A 25069-nucleotide genomic window follows, 5' to 3' on the forward strand; every position below is an offset into this window, starting at 1 on the left:
CAGTGATTGAAGTGATGTCAAATAACCAAATTTTGCAGGTCTGCAAGAAAATTAAAAATTTTTAATGAGCTTTATAGGCTCACAATAATTAGTATAGAATAACTCATGTAGTGCCAAAATATGTTTCTTAGTAGCTCAGATATTTGAAAAACTAAACAGTAATCTTTTATTGTTTTTGATCAAGTTGATTTGGGAGCTTTTAAGAGCCTAAACTTGATCCTTTTGTAATAGATAAGCATAATGATTGGGTTTTTATGTTCACATGTTTGATATGCCTCCCTCAAATCCTCTTATGATGTCGGCACATGACCCATCTGAGGTGAATAAAAAAAGGATCTAAAGTTGTAATCACATCTCTGTATCCATTTGAAAGTCTCAATTTTACTATATTTTTACCTCCAGTGAGTTAATAAGTAAATAATCCACTTACAGTATGTGCTAACCTTTTAAGCTAAAATATTTTGCATAACAACAACTTTATTTTCTGTCTACAGCGATAACAATCACACAGAAATTCAAGAAATTTCTTTAGCATTAAGAAGTCACATGAGTAAAGCACCAAGTAATACATTCCACCCCCAAGATTTCTCTGATGTTATTAGTTTTATTTTGTATGGGAACTCTCATAGAACAGGGTAAGACATTTCTTTGACTATTTTATCTGGGAAAGAAAATTTTAAGATTCCCTTGACTTTACATGCAGTTTTGAAGAGAAAATATGTTTGGGGGTGGCAGAGTATCAAGTAACATTCTTCTCATATGGGTTATTTCAGTTTTCATCAATAGGAAAATTGCTTTGAAGATAGCATCTGTAGAAACAAAAATGGGCTTTGAAATTGAGTAATGAAATGTGGTTAACAGTTAACTGATGTGATGTCATTAACACTTTGGGGAGTGGGGTGGGGGTGGAGATATTCTAGAGATGCTTAGTTGCATTGAATGAGTTTCATTCCTGACTGGCATGAGCCGTTTACCCTAATCATCCTTCCACACTGTACCTCATCCTGTTAACTATACAAGACCTCAAAATGAGAGGGGGGGACATAATGCTTCTCAATTTCATAGGTTTTGCCTTTTTTTGGAGTAGGGAAAATTACAGTTCCTTATTCCCATTCCCCTTGCATTTTTTTTTCATTATTAAAATGAAGTTGTCATTGTCTTTTAAATATGAAACTACTTTTCCCAGGAAGGACAATTGGTTGGAAAGACTGTTCTATAGCTGCCAGAGACTGGATAAGCGTGACCAGTCAACAATTCCACGCAATCTCCTGAAGACAGATGCTATCCTTTGGCAGTGGGCCATATGGGAAGCTGCACAATTCACTGTTCTTTCTAAGCTGAGAACCCCACTGGGCAGAGCTCAAGACACCTTCCAGACAATTGAAGGTAACTCGCTCAAGCTTTATGATGTGAATACTTTCAAAGCCTTATTGAGAAATAATGGATTTTTAAATCTTTGTTAAAGATTTGAGGGTATATGATTTTTTTTGAAAAAAGTCAATAATTTTCAGGTTTGTTTGTTAGAATAAGCTTTCATTGAATAATTGCATTGGAAATATGTTTGTTTTTTTTCCAAAACTTATGGGAGTTGTGTGGAAAAAATATATATTTTTTTCCCCTAAAATGAAAGATCTTTCATGTTGGGATTTTTTATTTTTAAATGATGGGTAGACAGAGGATACTTGATAAATGTGAATTGGTCATAAAAAACTCACACTTATTCTAGGAACTTTTAAGATTTTTAAAAATTCAGAATGTTGTCTTTGCTTTCAGGTATCATTCGAAGTCTCGCAGGTCACACATTAAACCCTGATCAGGATGTTAGTCAGTGGACAACTGCAGACAGTGATGAAGGCCATGGTAACAACCAACTTAGACTTGTTCTTCTTCTGCAGTATCTGGAAAATCTGGAGAAATTAATGTATAATGCATACGAGGGATGTGCTAATGCCTTAACTTCACCTCCCAAGGTTGGTTTCCGGGAGATAGTGTTGTTTTATAGCAGTTTAATGGTCACAGCTGGCAGTATGTGCAGAGCTGAAATCACAATAGACTTGTGTATTTGGTTTATATATAGGTGAGACATCCTTACCTACAAATTGAACCAGTCCTGAGCTTTTCTTTCTCTTATCGTAAAGGTCATTAGAACTTTTTTGTATACCAATCGCCAAACTTGTCAGGACTGGCTAACGCGGATTCGACTCTCCATCATGAGGGTAGGATTGTTGGCAGGCCAGCCTGCAGTGACAGTGAGACATGGCTTTGACTTGCTTACAGAGATGAAAACAACCAGCCTATCTCAGGTAAAGTGGTGTGTTTGAAATTCATTTTAAGTCTGTTAATAAGAAAAACATGGTTTAATTCCTTTGGTATGATTTAATCTATGGATAAAATAAGTTAAAGCTTGGATTCATTTTCAAAGGTTTTGATCCTGTATTTTGTAAAAGCAACAACTGCCAGAGTTACCTATTTTATTCGTGTTAAAACAGTGTTAGAAGTCAAAATAATGTTCATGTTTTTGTTCATGTTAAAACAATATTCATGTTAGAACACGTTAAAACTCTATTTCTTCCGTGCAAAGTTTAGAACTTTAAAGGTAATTCTGAAAATTTGTTTATGGGGGAAAATTTTTATTTATTTATTTATTTTTTTGAGACACAGTTTCACTCTGTCGCCCAGGCTGGAGTGCAGTTGTGCGATCTCGGCTCACTGTAAGCTCCGCCTCTCGGGTTCAAGCCTCTTCTTGCCTCAGTCCCTGGGATTACAGGCACCCACCACCATACCCGGCTAAGTTTTGTATTTTTAGTAGAGACAGGGTTTCACCATGTTGGCCAGGCTGGTCTCGAACTCCTGACCACAAGTGATCCGCCCACCTCGGCCTTCCAAAGTGCTGGGATTACAGGCATGAGCCACTGCACCTGGCCAGGAGAAATTGTTTTTATAACGTATGACAAATGCTTGAGTAATTCCTGGCTTGAAAGTGGGCTCACAATAAATAACTGGAATCCAAAAATAACAAAATGTTTAGCAATTCAGGTAATGTCAAGCAGTATTCAAACACATGAAGTTAATCATTCCTTAATTCCTGTTTATTTATATTTCATTTTTGCTTTCTTTTTACTCCATGTGTTATTCCTACAGAGGTCACAGGTTAAATGTTTTTGGGTAACTTTGGGGTGGGGGTACAAACATCCATGTGCTGCTAAGGTTCTGTTAGTCACCCTTTGTGGCTATTTTATATGTAACATTTTAAAGAATTCTGAGCTAAATAATGTGAAAATTGTGACAATAATTGTTAAATACATTTGGCTTTAAGCAGGCACAGACTGTGATCAGTTGTAAATTTTATAGGGATTTATGTTTTAATGGTATTGGGTGACTAACTTTTCTGAATGCGTTTTCAGGGGAATGAATTGGAAGTAAGCATTATGATGGTGGTAGAAGCACTATGTGAACTTCATTGTCCTGAAGCTATACAGGGAATTGCTGTCTGGTCATCATCTATTGTTGGAAAACATCTTCTGTGGATTAACTCAGTGGCTCAACAGGCTGAAGGGAGGTAGGTTGGAGGGAAGGAAATGGGTGATAGAATTACTTTATGTTTAAGTTCTTTGTATTACTCACTGACATTGTAGCCAAATCTTAAAACAGCTTTGTTTGCTTTCAGCATTGAAGCTTGCTATAAATCCCTTCACCAGGAGGCATCTTCAGTTTGTTCTTCAGTTAGCAGCAATACTGGAGTGCCTTTCTTATTTAAGAATTAGTGGCAAATCACACTGTAAAACAAGACCTGTCAGTTGTTTTATAAATGCTTTTGAACTTGATCCCTAGTTGAGCTCCTTCCCCCTCAGAGTCTGATACAAATTACCCTTTATTGTCAGAGTATTTGCTCGTTAGTCCTGTGAACTCTACATTCAGACTCATTGCTTCCTCCGGGTAGAGGAGCTTGTACCATAATATTCTGTGTCCATTTATGTTAGTTTAATGAAATCTTGCGAACTTAGGAAAATAAAAGAACTGCTCATACTTCCATATCTTTGTAGTAACTTCTGTTGTGTGTCCTTTTGTAGTCCCATATTTCCATATCCATACGCTTTGTAATTCTTTTTTCTTTCATGTCGTTTTCTCCATTCTTCACCAAAACATCAGCGTACATAGGCACATGGTTTTATGATCTGTTTTTCCCACTCAATATTTAAAAAAACAAAATTTGCCATGTTAGGTAGGCTGGGTTCGGTGGCTTACATCTGTATTCCCAGCACTTTGGGAGGCCGAGGCAGGCGGATCACCTGAGGTCAGGAGTTCAAGACCAGCCTGGCCAACATGGTGAAACCCCGTCTCTACTAAAAATACAAGAAAATTAGCCGGGCATGGTGGCGAGTGCCTGTAATCCCAGCTACTCAGGAGGCTGAGGCAGGAGAATCGCTTGTACACGGGAGGCAGAGGTTGCACTGAGCTGAGACAGTGCCATTGCACTCCAGCCTGGGCAAGAAGAGCAAAACTTCATCTCAAAAAAAAAAAGTAAGTAGTTAGATAAATAAAGAAATAAGACTGCTTCAATTTGCTTTTCAGGTTTGAAAAGGCCTCTGTGGAGTACCAGGAACACCTGTGTGCCATGACAGGTGTTGATTGCTGCATCTCCAGCTTTGACAAATCGGTGCTCACCTTAGCCAGTGCTGGGTGTAAGAGTGCCAGCCTGAAACATTGTCTGAATGGTGAGCGTTCAGCATTTTTAAATAAAGCAAAAGTTATAGTAATATATTTCGTACTGATGATCTTATCATGTTTTTAGGTTTCTGTGCTCTTTGAAATATTTCTAATTGATCTGAATCTCTCTCTTCTTATTTTATAAAATACTTTCAGGTGAATCCAGAAAAAGTGTGCTGTCCAAACCGACTGACTCTTCCCCTGAGGTTATAAATTATTTAGGAAACAAAGCATGTGAGTGCTACATCTCAACTGCCGATTGGGCTGCTGTGCAGGAATGGCAGAACGCTATCCATGACTTGAAAAAGAGTACCAGTAGCACTTCCCTCAACCTGAAAGCTGACTTCAACTATATAAAGTAAGGCTTTCTGTTTCCAGTTATAAAACAAATTTCCAATAACTATGATGTTTTTCCTATGGCAAAAAAAATATTAAAATTGGTCATATGCAGTAATACTCAAAATGGTTATATTTCTAACTTACTGCCATTATGAAAATGACAACAGGAAACTGACATCAGAGATGAGGGAAGGTATTTGTATAATGGGAAAACACTGCTGAGATAGTCATTTGGTATTAATTTTCAGAACCTGTCGTTCTAAAACCTTAATACAGTTTGAAGATTATGCCAGAGTGAATATAAAGAAAAATTTGTACTGCTTTAGAAAGAATCACATTTGATGGCTTTGTTTCGAAATGAGGTCTGAATATATCAAAAACATTTATTCTAATGAGGACAGAGTTTGTGAACATCTGTAAATTAAACTTTCTTCTCATTCCTCTGTGCTTTTATTAATTCTGTAATTCAAAACTGAGCACTCACTCTGTTGCAGACACTTGGCTGGGAAGATAAAGGTCATTAGACTTTGTCTGATACCCTTGCCTTCTACTGCTAAATGGGTTAATGTGTAATTGCTTCACTGAGCATGTGCTGTGACCCAGGCAGCACATAAAACAGACACAAATTCCAACCTTTTAAAGCAAAGATTAGATAAAGATTATTGATAGAAGGACTAATTGGACCTCACTCACCTTTTCTGTGCCATAAGGAAAGCAGTTAGGTAAAGCTGACCTTCTTTGGAGGGAAGACACAAGGTCAAGACATGCCCATCAGGATGCCCTTTGGGCCTAGACCTGATGTGAGAATGATGGGCTTGGAGTGTTCTGGAAATAGCTGGGAGGCCTGTGTGTTTAGGAGCGCCTTAAACAGTAGGATATAAGGGCAGAGAAGTAGCTGGGAACTGAGAAAAGAACTTTGGCTGTTATTCTAGTAAGACTGAAAATTTCAGGTGGGATTTGAACAGAGTTGTGTTGTGATCTGACTTGGTTCATTCTGCTGTGGTGAAGAGACTGGAGGTGCGGGGCAAGTATGGAAGCATGGAGACCATTAATTTATGGGGGCAATGGTAGAGGGAAGAGAAACAATGCTATTAACTGGAGTAGGAGCACACAGAGAACAAGCCATGTTTTAAGATTTCTAATGAAATGTGCAGATGAGATTGTTGGGTAAGCTGTTAAGAATTGGATTTTGAACTAAGGAGACAGTCTAAGCTTGAGAGATTTGCAGATGATTAGTACACAGAAAAGGCCCTCTTTCCTTTTCAGTCTCTATACTCTAGAGCCTTTGTAAGCAACCAAACCAGAGAGAAGCCTCTGGAGAATAGTGAGTGAAGAGGAAGGAAGGCCTGGGTCAGAATCCTAGTTTAGCATTTTTGTGAAAGGATAGAAGAGGAAGCCATTCAAAAAAATACAGGGACATTGAGAAGGGAAGTGCCCTAGATATAGGACATCCAGATGGGAGTAGTCAGCCTTGTCAGATGCTCTAGGGATTATAAGGAAAAAGAGTTTTGTAGAGAGACAGAAGAAGCTAGATTGAATAGTATTGAGTGGTAGAGACATTTGAAAATGAAAAGCTTGAGGTAAGTTATTTGGTCAGTGAGTTTTTCTTGAAGTCGAGGATAGGAAGCTGTTGCTGGAGGGAAATATGAGATGTTTATTTTAAATGTTGGAGAGATTATGTTCTTTTGGCCAAGGGGAAGGAGCCACTAGAAAGCAGAGGTTGAAGAAACAGGAGAAAGAACATTGATAGATTAACTGGCCCTCACCTTTTCTCTGCCTCAAGGAAAGCAGTCAAAGTTGGTATAGACAGAATTTCGGCAGTGTATGGTGGATTGGGGGTAGGGGTAGAGGAAATTAAAGCCTGTGTTTTTTTGTTTATTTGTTTGTTTTTTCTGAGGACTGAGTCATTAGCTGAAAGCATAGGGCATTATAGAGCATAGTGGGGACTTGGGGAACCTGCCACTGGAGAGGACTTAGGACCTTTTAATGGCAGAAATGATGACTGTGTTGGCAGCAGTTCATCAGTGCCCAGTACTCAAGGGTCCCCCTGAGAAGCCAGTGGTTGCACTGATCTAGGTAGAATCAGGCACAGAATAAGTCAGGTGATGTGCCTTTCTAGCACTGGCCTCAGGCTGAGTTATAAGGGAAGTTACACAGCGAGAGGGACAGGCAAAGATGGAAAAGAGAGAGAGTGAGAAACAGTGTCTTCTTCCTGGCTGGAGAGCCCGTGTCATGAAAATGGGGACAGGGTAAGGGATCTGAAAGGAGCAGCATAGAAGCTGGGAGGATGAGGCCTGTCTTCCTGGCATTGATGCTGCAGAACTACAGGAAAGAATTTCAGAGGTGTCATTATTTTTCATATAAGCAGATGAAAGAGAAGAATTCTTTGAAAAAAGAAAAGTAGGTGAAAAAGGGAGAGACGGAGGGATGCCAGCAGTGAAAGAAGCCAGGACTGAGATACAAGATTGTGATGCTGGGAGAGCTGTGCAAGGGCTCATGCTGTAGGTGAGGAGTGAGGCTGCACAGGGAGCTCACTGGCAGCTTGGAGAGAACTGGGTGTCAAAGTTGTCCTGCAGAGGTCTACTGTCAGTGTGTCAGGCTCTGAAGAGAACAGGCTGCAACACATGAAAACAGGAAGGAGACACAGGGGCGAGTCAGCTCCACTGAAAGTCTGTAGCTGTGACTTTCTGGTTTGCCACTCCAATTTGAGTACTAATTAAGTGGTAGTCACATCTTCAACATAAAAACCAAAATAATGGCATCCTCGTGGAAGGAATTTTGTCAGAAAAGTGCTGTGTACTTTGCTGTCTTCCTAGGATTTGTTCTGTTTTTGTTTGTTTGTTTTTTTTAATGGTTCCACAGGCTGCATAGGAATACAAGCTAACCAATATTTTAATTACAGATCATTAAGCAGCTTTGAGTCTGGAAAATTTGTCGAATGTACCGAGCAATTAGAATTGTTACCAGGAGAAAATATCAATCTACTTGCTGGAGGATCAAAAGAAAAAATAGGTAGGTATTTGAGAAAATAGTTTTAAAGTTATTTTAGTGGACAAGTTGCTCAAAATGTTTGGCTTAGTATATTTTACTGGAAAATCTGGAAGTTATTTTACATTTTTGTGGGGGCAGAATCCCATGTGAAGCAACAAATTTAGGGCTGCCCTATTTATGTTTGATTTGGGAAATGAAAAGCACTTAAAATTAAGTCAAATAAAAAAAATGACCACCTTAATACTTTGAGATTTATCTAGCCATTTTGTTTGATAAAGGACAAAGTAGTGTTTCAGCTAAATATTTTTCTTGATTTTCATCTTGATGTGGCTCGTTAATTAAGTTCTTTATCACAAATGGAACACTTGATAAGATGTTATTAAAAAGTTTAATGAGTATTCTGGATTGAGCAAGATTTGCTAATGCAGGTCTAGATTTGTCCCCTTAAATAGTAGATTGACTTACCGATTTTCTTTTTTGTTGAGACAGAGTCTCACTCTGTTGCCCAGGCTGGAGTGCAGTGGCGCGATTTCGGCTCACTGCAACCTCCGCCGCCCTCTGAGTTCAAGCGATTCTCCTGCCTCAGCCTCCTGAGTAGCTGGGATTACAGGTGTCTGCCACCGTGCCCAGCTAATTTTTTGTATTTTTAGTAGAGACGGGGTTTCATCATCGTGGCCAGGCTGGTCTTGAACTCCTGACTTCGTGATCCACCCACCTTGGCCTCCCAAAGTGCCGGGATTACAGGCGTGAGCCACCACGCCTGACCTCGACTTACTGATTTTTGAGCCTTTGAAGGCAACTGCTTTTTAGGGGTCTGAGGTACAGTAATTTTGTATGAAGTATGATTTTTATATAGCTCTCAGTAATGCTTATAGTGTTTAACTGCCTGAAATATTAAAGGAGCTGTTCATTGGTGATTAGTTTTTAATAATGCCAAACATAAATCAAAATTTATAATAAAAGCACATTAACTTAATGACATTTCATTTAACTTCTGTAGACATGAAAAAACTGCTTCGTAACATGTGAAGTCCAGATCCAAGGGAACCTCAGAAATCCATTGAAGTTCCATTGTTAAGAAGTTCTGTTTGTTTGGCAACTGCTTTAAACCCGATAGAACAAGATCAGAAGTGGCAGTCTATAACTGAGTAAGTTTACTCTTACGGAGGTAAATGTACATTGTGTATATCATGTGATAAACATACATGGGGTGAAGAGGGCTGGAAGGAGAGTTACTAGATTACTAAATACTAGTGCTAATAGCTTCATTTTAGTTGTAGAAGTCATATGATATATGAATGCTGCTTGCCAACAAAAACTGAGGTTGAAATGAAATAAAATGTAAAAATCCCCAAAAGCAAATGTCTTGACTTGCTGATACCATTTTATTATAGAGCAGGCTGCTCCTCTTACTGCCCCCTAACTTTGGATGTCAATTTGATAGCATCTTATCAATTGCTTTATTCTTTGAGTGGTTATGAATTGTAATTTTTATTAATTGACAGTAAATATTTTGTTTCAGAAATGTGGTAAAGTACTTGAAGCAAACATCCCGCATCGCTATTGGACCTCTGAGACTTTCTACTTTAACAGTTTCACAGTCTTTGCCAGTTCTAAGTACCTTGCAGCTGTATTGCTCGTCTGCTTTGGAGACCACAGTTTCTAACAGACTTTCAACAGAGGTCTGTATATTTTTACAAGCACACTCTTATGACTATTAATGGTCATTACTGTAGAACAAAGACCTTATTTTTTGAGTTTTTTGGAATAGGATTTGTAGTTGGGCAAGCTGGTAAATCCAGAAATCTAACATGCTGTTTTCAGGCAGTCTTTCATTTGGGAAGTACATGGGGCAGATGGAAGAACCTGAGATAATCGCAAGGATGGCAAATTGCTCAGTTTTTTCTTCTATTTTTGGGGTGGGAGGTGGTGTATGTAAAGACAGTTCCTTTAGGCAGATCACGTAAATTTTAGATTTGCTGCAAACAAAGATCTCTCCTCTTCATCCTAAATGGGGTAAAGTTCGACCAGAGATGGGGGCTTCTGAATGAATGGTGATCTTCGAGAACTTCATAATAAAGCATTAGTTGTAATGTTTTTCTGCAGTCTGCTTTATAGTAAATGTGCTGTGACTTTTTTTTTTGTAATGTGCTTTATTAAGTATATTGATAAATTAGACTTAATATTCTGAAGAAGATTTCCCTTCAAAACAAAAGGCTTTCTCTTACTGTGTGCTTGCCTCTTGTGAGTAGAAGATAAATGATGTAAGGGTATAGTGTAATAGATAAAACTACTGCAATCAATCTGAAGTAGCCAAACTATATTGCAGTCTTGGACTTAAGACTTGCTATATATCTGCAAACATATCAACAGCCTGTTTTACGTTGAGTAATTTTGGTTTTTCTCTGGCAGGACTGTCTTATTCCACTCTTCGGCGAAGCTTTACGTTCATGTAAACAGCATGACGTGAGGCCGTGGATGCAGGCATTAAGGTATACTGTGTACCAGAATCAGTTGTTGGAGAAAATTAAAGTTAAGTGGTTTTCCTTTTTTTTTTTTTGTAAGAGAAAATTAAAGGTGGTTTTTTTTTTTAAATTTTGCTTTATTGAGGTTTATATTACACATTCTAAGTGTATGGTTTGATGAGTTCTAACATGTCTTCACTTGTGTGACCACCAATACGATCGAGATAGAGAACAGCGTCTTACCCCAGAAGGTTCCCTTGGGATCATCTCCTCATTTGCCCCTGTCAGCAGTTACTGATTTGCTTTCTGTCACTATGGATTAGACTTGTCTTTACTAAAGTTTCATGTACGTGAAATCATAACAACATGTTCTCTTGTGTTTGGCTTCTCTTGCTCAGCATGATATTTTTACGGTTCACCCATATTGCATGTATCAGGAATATAATCCTTTTTATTATTGAGTAGTGTTCTATTGTATGTATATACCACAGTTTATTTCTCCCTTCATCCTTTGCTAGATTTTGGGGTTTTTTCACATTGCGCTATTCAGTATAAACCTGCTCTCAACATTCATGTGCAAGTCTTTGAGTGGACATATATTTGCGTTTCTCTTGAGTGAATGCACCTTGTTGGGTCACGTGGCTTAACTTAAAAAAATTTTAATCACTGTGGTGCATATGTAGTGATTATTAGTGATTATCTCATAATTTTATTTTCTTGTTTAATGATGTTGAGTGTATTTCATTTGTATTTTAGTTTGCAAATGTTTGTTCAAATTCTTCACCTGTTTTTAATGAAGACGTACGACTTATTTTTGTGTTCTGAACATAAGTTCTTTGTCACATAAAATGTGCTATGAATGTTGAGTTTTAAGTACTCCAAATGAATGGCTAGAGAATTACTATTTGTAGAAATATTTATATGTCAAAGGGATGCTAACAATTTACTTTATTGCTCTAAAATAGAAAAGTTGCCAGAATGCTGTGGAGTTTTAGTGGAAAACATGATAGCTGGTGTTACTGAGTAAATTTGAGTGTTAAATGTCAATGTAAGCTAACGGCCAAGATAGGGACCACTGCAGGGTGGTTACTTGCAGCTGTGACTCAACTGGTCCTTCACTGCCAAACATACCTGGGGTTGGATCATTGGCCTGACGTTTGCAAATTGAGGAACCTTAGGGCAAATCAGTGAACTTCTGAACTGCCTTCGTCTTCAGTTATATGGGGATTTCCCCACTTTTGAGATCCTTGTAAGGATTATATGAGATGAAGAGATGAGACAAGGTATATAAAAGTCCTAGCACAGAGCGTGTCATATAATATGGCTTCACAAGTACCCTCATCTCCTTTCCAGTCGTTTTTTGTTTTTGTTTTTGTTTTTTTGAGACCATCTCACTCTGTTGCCCAGGCTGGAGTGCCTCTTCATTTTTATTTCTTTATTCAGCAAGTATTGATCAAATGTGCTTTGTACCAGGTACTGAGCTCTTCGTTGGGATATAATGGTGATCAAGGAGATTGTAGATTCTGGCAGGGAAAACTGACATCAAACACGGCGACCCGACATAGTGAGACCCTGTCTCTACTAGAAGAACTTTAAAAATCACCTAGGTGTGGGCCGGGCACGGTGGCTAACGCCTGTAATCCCAGCACTTTGAGATGCTGAGGCAGGTGGATCACGAGGTCAGGAGATCGAGACCATCCTGGATAACACGGAGAAACCCCGTCTCTACTAAAAATACAAAAAAATTAGCCGGGCGTGGGGGCGGGCATCTGTAGTCCCAATTACTCGGGAGGCTGCAGCAGGAGAATGGCATGAACCCGGGAGGCGGATCTTGCATTGAGCCAAGATCACGCCACTGCACTCCAGCCTGGGCGACAGAATGAGACTCCATCTCAAAAAAAAAAAAGAAACCAAGGATATAGAATAAAACAAGAGTGTAGATTTGGGCATTGAGGCCTTCAAATTGGATTGTTCTCAATGTCCAGAAGAAAAAAAAAATTTAGAAGAGACCCAAATCAGAAAACAAAAGTTGGGCTGAATTCAATGCGAATTATTTTCTAGCTCAATATTAATACTGCTTATGTCAGCTGAATTTCAGCCTTTCAATAACAGCTAGTCAAGTATTTTTTTAGTTGGTTCCTATTGATCGTCATCTTATTTTAGTGGAATCCATTATATTGAAGATGTCAAGTTCCTCATTTCCCATACAAAGAATGTGAGATTCATCTTTCTTGAATCTTTGCTAAGTGTTGAAGGGGACTTTTGGCATCTTTTCAGGAGGACTATAATTGGGCCCTCTAACTAAAAAGTCTCCTATGCCCCTTAGATAGATGAGATTTTTTTTTTTGACCTTGTACCCACCAACATTGGTGGGAGGCTCAGAAGGGACTGTGTTTGTAACTTTGTAGCACTTTCTAAACAGTGACCTGTTGTATGGGCATTATAGGACAGTCCGTGGGGTGGGGCGGGGGATGGGGGAGATGGACAAATGAGGTCTGGTTTAAAGAATGAGAAGTGTGACCAGGCATGGTGACTCATGCCTGTAATCCAGCACTTTGGGATGCTGAGGCAGGAGGATCACTTGAGCCCAGGAGTTTGAGGTTACAGTAAGCTATGATTGTGCCACTGGGCTCCAGCCTGGGTGACAGAACTAGACCCTGTCTCTAAAAAAAGAAGAAGAGGTGTGTATCCTTCTAAATGATAAAACAGATCACTCCCCTGCTTACATAAAACTTTCCGGTGGCTGGCCAGGCACGGTGGCTCACGCCTGTAATCCCAGCACTTTGGGAGGCCGTGGTGGGCAGATCACGAGGTCAGGAAATCGAGACCATCCTGGCTAACGTGGTGAAATCTTGTCTCTACTAAAAACACAAAAAATTAACCCAGGTATGGTGGCATGCACCTGTAGTCCCAGCTACTCGGGAGGCTGAGGCAGGAGAATCGCTTGAACCAGGGAGGTGGAGGTTGCAGTGAGCTGAGATTGCGCCACTGCACTCCAGCCTGGGTGACAGAGACTCTGTCTCAAAAAAAAAAAAAAAAAGAAAAAGAAAAATTAGATGGGTGTGGTGGCATGTGCCTGTAATCCCAGCTACTGGGGAGCCTGAGGCAGGAGAATCGCTTGAACCTGGGAGGCAGAGGTTACAGTGAGCCAAGATTGCACCACTGCAGTCTGCCTGGGTGACAGAGCTAGACTCTGTCTCAAAAACAGAAAAACAAAAAAACAACTTTCCAGTGGCTTCTCACTGCTCTGAGAATAAACTCCAGGCTCTTCCATTGCAACCAACAGGATCTGGTGATTCGACCCCAGCCCCTCTTTCCAGGCCCTCATCACCTTGATCCTCCCTTAACCTATCCTGCTCCAGCTGCACTGGCTGCCTTCCTATTCCTCCAGCATACCAAGATTGTTTCTGCCACAGGGCCTTTGCATCTGCTGTTCTCTTCGCCTGGACACCTCTTGGTTCTTTTTTTTTTTGTTCTTTGAGATGGAGTCTCACTCTGTCGCCCAGGCTGAAGTGCAGTGGCGCGATCTCGGCTCACTGCAAGCTCCGTCTCCCAGGTTCATGCCATTCTCCTGCCTCAGCCTTCCGAGTAGCTGGGACTACAGGCATCCGCCACCACGCCCGGCTAATTTTTTTGTATTTTTAGTAGAGACGGTTTCACCGTCTTAGCCAGGATGGTCTCGATCTCCTGACCTCGTGATCCGCCCGCCTGGGCCTCCCAAAGTGCTGGGATTACAGGTGTGAGCCACCGTACCCGGCCATAGAGCAGCCTCTTCCTTTTCCTGTTGGGTCTCTGCTCAAATGTCATGTCAGAGAGGCAGACCTCTGGGGCGGTCTATCTGAGGGAATGCACCCATCTCCCTTCCTCTGACCAGTTAGTTACCTTGCTTATTCTTTCAAAGCTCTTACCACCACCTGAAGTCATCTATCTGGTTTGGTTATTTTATTGTTTAGTAGCAGTCTTTATTTTATTATCATTATTATTTTTTGATGGAGTCTCACTCTGTTGCCCAGGCTGGAGTGCAGTAGCATGATCTCGGCTCACCAGAACCTCTGCCTCCCAGGTTCAAGCGATTCTCCTGCCTTAGCTTCCTGAGTAGCTGGGACTACAGGCACGTGCCACCATGCCCAGCTGATTTTTGTACTTTTAGTAGAAACGGGGTTTCACTATGTTGGCTGGTCTTGAACTCCTGACATCAAGTGATCCGCCCACCTCGGCCTCCCAAAGTACTGGGATTACAGGCATGAGCCACCACGCCAGGCTGGTAGCAGTCTTTCCTAGAATGTGGATGCCTTGGAAAACAGGGGCTCTGCCTTGTTTCCCTAGAACCTAGAATGGCATCTGGCACACAGCAGATGCTACATCTATTGTAAATGAATGAATGAAAGAAGTGTCCTTGCAGCCACACTGGCAGCCGTAACATAGTGGTTATAAATCTAGACTCTGGAGTCTCAAGTGCAAATGTCATTGGCCTCTCCTCCAGCCTCCTCAAGGGGCACTCAATGACTGGAAGTGCCCTGATATGACTGTGGTTGGACTGACATGACTGCCAGATGGTGGGACTTGGTCTGGAGCAGAGACTACTTGGAATGGTAGAGGCAAAACTCAACAGCCCCTGGAGCTGCGCTTGTGGTGGAGCTGGACCCTGATTTTAGCTGGACCTTGTTTTTAGAGACAGGGTTTCCTTCTGCAGTCTCAATCTCCTAGCCTTGATTGATCCTCCTGCCTTGGCCTCCCAAAGTGCTGGGACTACAGGTGCATGCAACCACACCTGGCTAATTTTCTTCTCTTCTTTCTTTTCTTTTTTTTTTTTTTGATGGAGTCTTGTTCTGTTGCCCAGGCTGGAGTGCAATGGTGCCATCTCGGCTCACTGCAACCTCTGCCTCCCGGGTTCAATCCATTCTCCTGCCTCAGCCTCCCAAGTAGCTGGGACTACAGGTGTGTGCCACCGTGCCTGGCTAATTTTTGTATTTTTAGTAGGGATGAGACTTCACCATGTTGGCCAGGCTGGTCTCGACCTCCTGACCTCAGGTGATCCACCCACCTTGGCCTCCCAAAGTGCTGGGACTACAGGCACATGCAACCACGTCTGGCTAATTTTCTTGAGTTTTAGTAGAGACTGGGTCTCGTTATGTTGTCCAGGCTGGTCCCGAGCTCCTGAGTTCAATCGATCTTCCTGCCTTGGTCTCCCAAAGTGCTGGGCCTACAGGCGTGAGCCACCATCCCCAGCCCAATTTTTGTATATTTTGTAGAGACACAGTCTTGCTATGTTGTCCAGGCTGGTCTCAAACTCCTGGGCTCAAGGGATCTTCTTGCCTTGGCCTCCCGGAGCACTTAATTACAGGAATGACTGCATGTGCTGTTGTGCCTATACTTTCTGGAGATACGTTGTTAGGAATTTATGTAGTTGGCCGGGCACGGTGGCTCACGCCTGTAATCCCAGCACTCTGGGATGCCGAGGCAGGTGGATCACCTGAGGTCAGGAGTTCGAGACCAGCCTGGTCAACATGGTGAAACCCTGTCTCTACTAATAATACTAAAATCAGAGGTTGCTTGCAGTGAGCCAAGATCATACCATTGCACTGCAGCCTGGGCAACAGAGCGAGACTCTGTCTCAAAAAAAAAAAAAAAAGGAATTTACATAGTTGAACAACTATTCTTTGGACATCTTTTAGTCCAGTAGACGGTGTTAAACTTGAAGACAAATAACGATTTGACCTGTGATATTTGTTTTTCCCTCTTATCTTCTAAGCCCATTCATCCAGATCATTCATCACCTTTAAAGGCATCCCCAGAGGGAGGCAGGTCTGGACAGAGCTGAAGATTGCACAGGCCATTTGCAGGCTGGATTAGTTCTGTGGTGACCCACCTGTCTGACTCGAGTTATTTTTTTCCCATGTCTGGACAAGACTGACCTCTGCCCAGCAACTCAGGCCTGGATTTAGTCCAAGGGCCCTCAGTGGCTTTTTTGTTTGTTTGTTTTTTCAGGAAGTGAAGAATTTAGAGGGATAAAAGGCGGAAATAACTTTTCAGCCTCTGACCTTTGTAACAATCTAGTTTCCTTTTAAAGGAGCATTGTTTGGGCCTGGGGCCACCTAGACCTTCTGATGCTCTTTCCCCACCCTTGGAGGAGGAGGAAAGGAAGAAAATGGGCCCTGAGCGATCACCACATACCAGGCCCTGGGGGTCTAGTGGCGAAGGAGGCAGGTAGGGTCTCTTGCTTTCATGGAGCTTCTAGTCAAGCGAGACGCACTAAACAGTAAAGGGACAAATAGGATTACTGGAGGTAGCCCTAACTACTGGGACAGAAACAAGATGGTAAGATAGAGAAGGAAGAGTGGCCTGCTCAGATGGGGTGGTCCAGAGGCCTCTCGGGGGAGGTGACTCCTTTTTATTTTATTTTTTTTGAGATGGAATCTAGCTCTGTCGCCCAGCCTGAAGTGCAGTCGTGTGTTTCATGCGCGTCCGTGTGAAGAGACCACCAAACAGGCTTTGTGTGAGCAACATGGCTGTTTATTTCACCTGGGTGCAGGCGGGCTGAGTCCGAAAAGAGAGTCAGCAAAGGGTGGTGGATTATCATTAGTTCTTACAGGTTTTGGGATAGGGGGTGAAGAGCCATGTTTTGCAGGCAGGGGTGGATCTCACAAAGTACATTCTCAAGGGTGGGGAGAATTACAAAGAACCTTCTTAAGGGTTGGGGAGATTACAAAGTACCTTCTTAAGGGTGGGGGAGATTACAAAGTACATTGAAGAGTTAGGGTGGGGCAGAAACAAATCACAATGGTGGAATGTCATCAGTTAAGGCTATTTTTACTTCTTGTGTGGATCTTCAGTTACTTCAGGCCATCTGGATGTATACGTGCAAGTCACAGGGGATGCAATGGCTTGGCTTGGGCTCAGAGGCCTGACAGTGTGATCTTGGCTCACTGCAAACTCTGCCTCCTGGGTTCAAGCAATTTTTGTGCCTCAGCTTCCCGAGTAGCTGGGATTACAGGTGCCCGCCACCATGCCCAGCTAATTTTTGTATTTTTAGTAGAGACATAGAGTTTCACCAGATTGGCCAGGCTGGTCTCGAACTCCTGTCTCACGTGTCTGTGTGAAGAGACCACCAAACATGCTTTGTGTGAGCAACATGGCTGTTTATTTCACCTGGGTGCAGGCGGGCTGAGTCCGAAAAAGGAGTCAACAAAGGGTGGTGTGATTATCACTGGTTCTTATAGATTTGGGGATAGGCGGTGGAGTTAAGAGCAGTGTTTTGGGGGCAGGAGGTGGATCTCATAAAGTACATTGTCAAAGGTGAGGAGAATTACAAAGAAACTTCTTAAGGGTGGGGGAGATGATAAAGAACCTTCTTAAGAGTGGGGCAGATTACAAAGTACATTGATCAGTTAGGGTGGGGCAGAAACAAATGACAATGGTGGAATGTCTTCAGTTAAGGCTGTTTTCACTTCTGTGGATCTTCAGTTGCTTCAGGCCATCTGGATGTATACGTGCAGGTCACTGGGATATGATGGCTTAGCTTGGACTCAGAGGCCTGACATTCCTGTCTTCTTATGTTAATAAGAAAAATAAAACAAAATAGTGGTAAAGTGTTGGGGTGGCGAAAATTTTTGGGGGTGATATGGAGAGATAATGGGCGATGTTTCTCAGGGCTGCTTCGAGTGGGATTAGGGGCGGCATGGGAACCTACAGTGGGAGAGATTCAACTGAAGAAAGATTTTGGGGTAAGGGCTGATACTGTGGGGTTGTTAGAAGGAGCATTTGTCATATAGAATTATTGGTGATGGCCTGAATATGGTTTTGTATGAATTGAGAAACTAAACAGAAGACACACGGTCCGAATAAGAGAAGGAGAAAAACAGGTATTAAAGGACTAAGAATTGGGAGGACCCAGGACATCCAATTAAGAGAGTGCCCAAGGGGGTTCAGCATAATTATTTGCTTGGTTGGCAAGTTTTTGGACTCTATCCTTGAGTTTTTTTATGTTGTCATATACCAGGCCAGATTGATTTAGGTAAAAACAACACTCTTCATTTAAAAATATACAGAGTCGTCCTTTTTCAGCAATGAGTAAATTGAGGCCTTGGCGATTTTGGAGGAAAGAGAATTGCAAAGCCAGCAATTGTTTCTTTTTTTATTTATTTATTTACTTATTTTTTTAAATTATACTTTAAGTTATAGGGTACATGTACACAATGTGCAGGTTTGTTACATATGTATACATGTGCCATGTTGGTGTACTGCACCCATTAACTCGTCATTTACATTAGGTGTATCTCCTACTGCTATCCCTTCCCCCTCCCCCACCACACAAGAGGCCCCAGTGTGTGATGTTCCCCTTCCTGTGTCCAAGTGTTCTCATTGTTCAATTCCCATCTGTGAGTGAGAACATGCGGTGTTTGGTTTTTTGTCCTTGTGATAGTTTGCTGAGAGTGATCGTTTCCAGCTTCATCCATGTCTCTACAAAGGACATGAACTCATCCTTTTTTATGGCTGCATAGTACTCCATGGTGTATCTGTGCCACATTTTCTTAATCCAGTCTATCATTGATGGACATTTGTGTTGGTTCCAAGTCTTCACTATCGTGAATATTGCCGCGATAAACATATGTGTGCATGTGTCTTTATAGCAGCATGATTTATAATCCTTTGGGTATGTATCCAGTAATGGGATGGCTGGGTCAAATGGTATTTCTAGTTCTAGATCCCTGAGGAATCGCCACACTGTCTTCCACAATGGTTGAACCAGTTTACAGTCCCACCAACAGTGTAAAAGTGTTCCTATTTCTCCACATCCTCTCCAGCACCTGTTGTTTCCTGACTTTTTAATGATCGCCATTCTAACTGGTGTGAGATGATATCTCATTGCGGTTTTGATTTGCATTTCTCTGATGGCCAGTGATGATGAGCATTTTTTCATGTGTCTGTTGGCTGCATAAATGTCTTCTTTTGAGAAGTGTCTGTTCATATGCTTTGCCCACTTTTTGATGGGGTTTGTTTTTTTTCTTGTAAATTTGTTGGTGTTCTTTGTAGATTCTGGATATTAGCCTTTTGTCAGATAAGTAGATGGCAAAAATTTTCTCCCATTCTCTAGGTTGCCTGTTCACACTGATCCTAGTTTCTTTTGCTGTGCAGAAGCTCTTTAGTTTAATTAGATCCCATTTGTCAGTTTTGGCTTCTGTTGCCATTGCTTTTGGTGTTTTAGACATGAAGTCCTTGCCCATCCCTATGTCCTGAATGGTATTGCCTAGGTTTTCTTCTAGGGTTTTTACGGCTTTAGGTCTAACATTTAAGTCTTTAATCCATCTTGAATTAATTTTTGTATAAGGTGTAAGGAAGGGATCCAGTTTCAGCTTTCTACATAGGGCTAGCCAGTTTTCCCAGCACTATTTATTAAGTAGGGAATCCTTTCCGCATTTCTTGTTTTTGTCAGGTTTGTCAAAGATCAGATGGTTGTAGATGTGTGGTATTATTTCTGAGGGCTCTGTTCTGTTCCATTGGTCTATATGTCTGTTTTGGTACCAGTACCAGGCTGTTTTGGTTACTGTAGCCTTGTAGTATAGTTTGAAGTCAGGTAGCATGATGCCTCCAGCTTTGTTCATTGGGCTTAGGATTGTCTTGGCAATGCGGGCTCTTTTTTGGTTCCATATGAACATTAAAGTAGTCTTTTGCAACTCTCATCAGCCCAGTTTAATATTACCTATTTATTATAATGTAATGCTGCTCGCACAACTGAGAAAATACTGTTGCTTTACCCCCTCCAGCTCTGTAGCAGCCACGCAGAAATCATAGAACTGTAAACATATGCTAATTACACAACCTATGTAGGCAATCAATATTAAGAAAAATTTTTACTGCCCGGTATTTCTGTGGTTGAAAATGTAGAGTCTAATTTTGATCCGCAGTAACATCTAGGTTAATGTTGATTCAGAAGGAAAACGTTTGTTGTTGCCATGAGAAGAGGCATTGAAATGCTGAATCACCACCACAAATGTTACCACTATTAATATAAGGAGATACATAGGAAGATGGAATTAGACCATCTCGGACCACCAGGTTTACAATTCCACCTGCAGATACATGCAAGAAGTATTGTCACAATACTTATGTCACGTTATTCCGTTGAGGTCATCACCAACTAAGCTTATAATTAATGTGTGGTCAATTTGGTCAATGTCACCAGCGTAGCATACTAACAAAAACAAGGGTTGCAAAGTCAAATGCCTATAAGGCAGAACGTAAGACGGTAGGAAGCAAAGTCTATAGGGAGCTATATAATAGAGGCTGCAGATTCATGGCAGATTCTAAAGCACAGCAGTCCCCAACATTTTTGGCACCAGGGACCGGCTTTGTGGAAGACAATTTTTCCACAGGCGGCAAGGGATGGGGCGCAGGATGGTAATGGTCTTGGGATGAAACTGTTCCACCACAAATCATCAGGAATTAGATTCTCATAAGGAATATGCAACCTGGATCCCTCGTGTGTGCAATTCACAACAGGGTTCATGCTCCTGTAAGAATCTAATGATGCTGCTGATCTGACAGGAGGCAGAGCTCAGGCAGCAATGCAAGCAATGGGGAGCAGCCAGAAATACAGACGAAGCTTCAATTGTTACCCACCATTCACCTCCTGCTCTGTGGCCCAGTTCCTAACAGGCCACAGACCAGTACATGTCCATGGCCCAGGGGTCAGGCACCCCTGCTGTGGCACATTGCTTAATAGAGGACTGTAGCAGCCATGTGCCCTGACCTTTCCTTTTTTTTTTTTTTTTTTTTTTTTTTTGAGATGCCAGAAACCCAGAATTTTTTTTTTTTTTTTTTTTTTTTTTTTTTTTTAAGACAAGGTCTGGCTCTGTTGCCCAGGTTGGAGTGTAGGAGGGCGATCTCAGCTCACTGTAACATCAACCTCCCAGGCTCAAGCAATCCTCTCACTTCAGCCTCCCACGTTGCTGGGATTACAGGCACACTCCACTACACCCAGCTAATTTTTTTGTATTATTTGTAGACATGGGGTTTCGCCATGTTGCCCAGGCTAGTCTGGAATTCCTGAGGTCAAGCTGTCTGCCCATCTCAGCCTCCCAAAGTGCTGGGATTGCAGGAGTGCACCACCACACCTGGCCTGAAACCCAGATTTTATTTATTTATTTATTCATTTTTTGAGATGGAGTCTTGCTCTATTGCCTAAGCTTGAGTGCAGTGGCGCGATCTTGGCTCACTGCAACCTCCACCTCCCTGGTTCAAGCGATTCTCCTGCCTCAGCCTCCCAAAGTGCTGGGATTACAGGCATGCAACACCACACCCAGCCTGAAACCCAGATTTTTAATATGAAATCAAAGTCTTCAGACCTTGTAGGTGTCATAAAAAGCACGCTGAGGACCACTAGTTTGCAACTGCCAATCTAAAATATCATAGACATTATATCACTTCAACCACGAAAAAAAAAGTATGTGAGGCAGAAAATGGAAGCAACCATGCCTAATTTATTGTTGAATACTTTTTCCGTATACCAAGAGCTTCCTTTGCACTAGCATCTGAAACTATATCCAGAATGACACTGGTTTTCATAAAAGTGTTGATCCTCACACCTCTTTATAGTCTTGCACCTAGCACAGTGGAGTGAAACACTTTAAATAGCACTTGTTCCTTGAGTATATATGGAAAAAAGTGAAGTATTGATAAGTGCTCAGCTAATATGAGCAGCATCTCAGGAGTCTCCAATTCTTGAATTACCAGGGAGTATTTTTACCATTTTCCCCCAGTGAAAGGCCTATTTTGAGAGACTTACCCTCCAAAATGAATGTATTAAGTCATGTTCCTTTTTTTTTTTTTTTTTTTTTTTTGAGACAGGGCCTTGCTCTGTTGCCCAGGCTGGAGTGCAGTAGCATGATAGTTACAGGAAAGGGGTCCCAATCTAGACCCCAAGAGAGGGTTCTTGGATCTTGTGCAAGAAAGAATTCAGGGTGATGCCACAGTGTGAAGTGAAAGCAAGTTTATTAAGAAAGTAAAGGAGGAGGGGCACGGTGGCTCACTCCTGTAATCGCAGCACTTTGGGAGGCCGAGACAGGTGGATCACGAGGTCAGGAGATCAAGACCATCCTGGTTAACACGGTGAAACCTCATCTCTACTAAAAATACAAAAAAATTAGCCAAGTGTGGTGGCGGGTGCCTGTAGTCCCACCTACTCTGGAGGCTGAGGCAGGAGAATGGGATGAACCCGGGAGGCGAAGCTTGCAGTAAGCCGAGATCGCGCCACTGCACTCCAGCCTGGGTGACAGAGGGAGACTCCATCTCAAAAAAAAAAGAGAGAAAGTAAAGGAATAAAAGAATGGCTACCCCATAGACGGAGCAGCCGTGAGGGCTGCTGGTTGCCCATTTTTATGGTTATTTGTTGATGATATGCTAAACAAGGAGTGGATTTTTCATGCCTCCTCTTTTTAGACCATATAGGGTAACTTCTTGATGTTGCCGTGGCATTTGTAAACTGTCATGGTGCTGGTAGGAGTGTAGCAGGGAGGATGATGGGAGGTCAGTCTTGTCTCTATTTTGGTTTTGGTGGGTTTTGGCCAGCTCCTTCACTGCAACCTGTTTTATCAGCAAGGTCTTTATGACTGGTATTTTGTGCTGACCTTCTATGTCATCCTGTGACTTAGAATGCCTTAACCATCAGGGAATGCAGCCCAGTAGTTTCAGCCTCATTTTTCCCGGCTCCTATTTAAGATGGAGTTGCTCTGGTTCACACACCTCTGACATGATCATTGCCCACTGCGGCTTCCACCTCCCGGGTTCAAGAGATCCTCCTGCCTCACCCTCCCAAGGTGCTGGGACTACAGGTGTGTGCCACCAGCTCAGCTAATTTTTGTATTTTTTGTAGAGATGGTGTTTTTCCATGTTGCCCAGGCTGGTCTCAAACTCCTGGGCTCAAGCAATCCTTCTGTCTCAGCCTCCCAAAGTACTGGGATTACAGGCATGTCCCACCATGCCCAGACTAATATTTACTTTTAATCAGACTAAGATAGGGTTACTACTTGAGTTGCTATGGCTCCAGCTGAAAGAAAGCCCGTGCAGTCATATCACGCGTAAACATTTGCTTTATGCTAAAAATATGGTGGACCTGGCATTACAGCTATTACAAATCTCCTAAGATGTCTCGGGTAGTGTATTAGTTACTTTTCATACTGCTATGAAGAAATACTGGAAACTGGGTAATTTATAAAGAAAAAGAGGTTTAATGTACTCACAGTTCCACAAGGCTGGAGAGGCCTCAGAATCATGGTGGAAGGCAAAGAAGGAGCAAAAAGGTATGTCTTCCATGGCAGCAGGCAAGAGAGCACGTGCAGGGAAACTGCCCTTTATAAAACCATCAGATTTAGTGAGATGTATTCACTATCACGAGAACAGTATGGGAAAAACCTGCCCCCATGATTCGATTACCTCCTACCGGGTCCCTCCCACGACACATGGGGATTATGGGAACTACAATTCAAGATGAAATTTGGGTGGGGACGCAGCCAAACCATATCGGGTAGCAACAACCTAGGGTCAGTTTTGCAGGTGGTAAAGCCATTTACCAAGATAGTTGTAGGTAAAGAAGGGCAGATTTATTAGAGAAATTGTGAAAATATGTTGCAGTGGGCAGCTCAGCAGAGAAGGGGCTACCTGCAAAGAGGCAAGGGCTGGAGGAAAGTTTTATAGGGTCCTGCTGAAGGGTGCTACGTGTGGAATGAGGTCATTGTGCCCGCAGGTTGTTTGTGATTAGCTGTCTCTAACAATTGTTCATACAATAATTGTTCATTATTGTTCTCAACTTGGGGCTCTCCCCAACCTGGGGACCCTTCCTTATTGTTGCTTACTTATCAGGTCTCCACATAAAGGTGTGGAAACTTCATTCATTCATATCTTCAACACAAATTGTAGGTAGCCTGTTTTTTAAAACATTTATTCAACAAATATTTAGTCCAAGCCACTATTACTTACTACCTTCTCTACTATTGTATGGACTTTTAACTATCTCTGACACTATTCACTATTCTTCCACATTCTCTATTATTTATACCTATGGTAAAATTTGCCAGTTTGACCATACAACTAATACTCACAGGGAATATATAGAGTCTAGAAGAAAATATACAGGTCCTTAAAGGCTGCCCTGCCAACAAAACCATAACGCAGGAACAAACATCACAACTATGCCAAATAATCAATCCTACAATGTCCAAAATTTTACTTTAAAACTGGAATTACCAGACTTCCTTTCTGCATTAACCAGTTTAACTAGACAGTAACGAAATATTCCTACTTTATGCTGTGATAGTTTGTTTGTTTGTTTGTTTGTTTATTTATTTATTTATTTAAGACAGAGTTTCGCTCTTGTTGCCCAGGCTGGAGTGCAGTGGCACGATCTCAGCTCACCACAACCTCCGCCTCCCAGGTTCAAGCGATTCTCCTGCCTCAGCCTCCCGAGTAGCTGGGATTACAGGCATGTACCACCACGCCCGGGTAATTTTGTATTTTTAGTAGAGACGGGGGGTTTCTCCATGTTGGTCAGGCTGGTCTAGAACTCCAGACCT

General features: G+C 41.8%; 1 protein-coding gene, 1 non-coding gene and 1 pseudogene across 3 annotated transcripts in view, besides 1 other annotated feature; all 3 read left to right on the top strand.

Moving 5' to 3' along the window:
* The window catches only part of SMG1P1 (SMG1 pseudogene 1), a 55213-nt pseudogene extending 44250 nt beyond the window's left edge, over positions 1–10963 (top strand). The window contains exons 19-29 of the transcript NR_027154.1: positions 495–635; positions 1187–1386; positions 1774–1970; positions 2139–2303; positions 3405–3559; positions 4573–4715; positions 4864–5065; positions 7949–8058; positions 9038–9185; positions 9560–9719; positions 10450–10963. The product of NR_027154.1 is annotated as an SMG1 pseudogene 1 (transcript). The remainder of the gene's footprint in view (positions 1–494; positions 636–1186; positions 1387–1773; positions 1971–2138; positions 2304–3404; positions 3560–4572; positions 4716–4863; positions 5066–7948; positions 8059–9037; positions 9186–9559; positions 9720–10449) is intronic.
* Positions 217–320, top strand: LOC124903802 (small nucleolar RNA U13). Its single transcript, XR_007065247.1, has one exon. It is a non-coding gene; the product is annotated as a small nucleolar RNA U13 (small nucleolar RNA).
* Positions 18307–19164: an enhancer, noted in NCBI's record as "H3K27ac hESC enhancer chr16:22510885-22511742 (GRCh37/hg19 assembly coordinates)". NCBI's record gives its function as "activates a minimal SCP1, AML or CMV promoter by ChIP-STARR-seq in primed H9 embryonic stem cells {active_cell/tissue: H9 hESC(primed)}" and the evidence as "EXISTENCE:reporter gene assay evidence [ECO:0000049][PMID:30033119]".
* The window catches only part of NPIPB5 (nuclear pore complex interacting protein family member B5), a 32937-nt gene continuing 30209 nt past the window's right edge, over positions 22342–25069 (top strand). The window contains exon 1 of the mRNA NM_001395851.1: positions 22342–24978. The gene's annotated coding sequence lies outside the window, so the exon portion shown is untranslated. The remainder of the gene's footprint in view (positions 24979–25069) is intronic.

Source organism: Homo sapiens, chromosome 16 (genome assembly GCF_000001405.40).
Source record: "Homo sapiens chromosome 16, GRCh38.p14 Primary Assembly".
Classification (NCBI taxonomy): domain Eukaryota; kingdom Metazoa; phylum Chordata; class Mammalia; order Primates; family Hominidae; genus Homo; species Homo sapiens.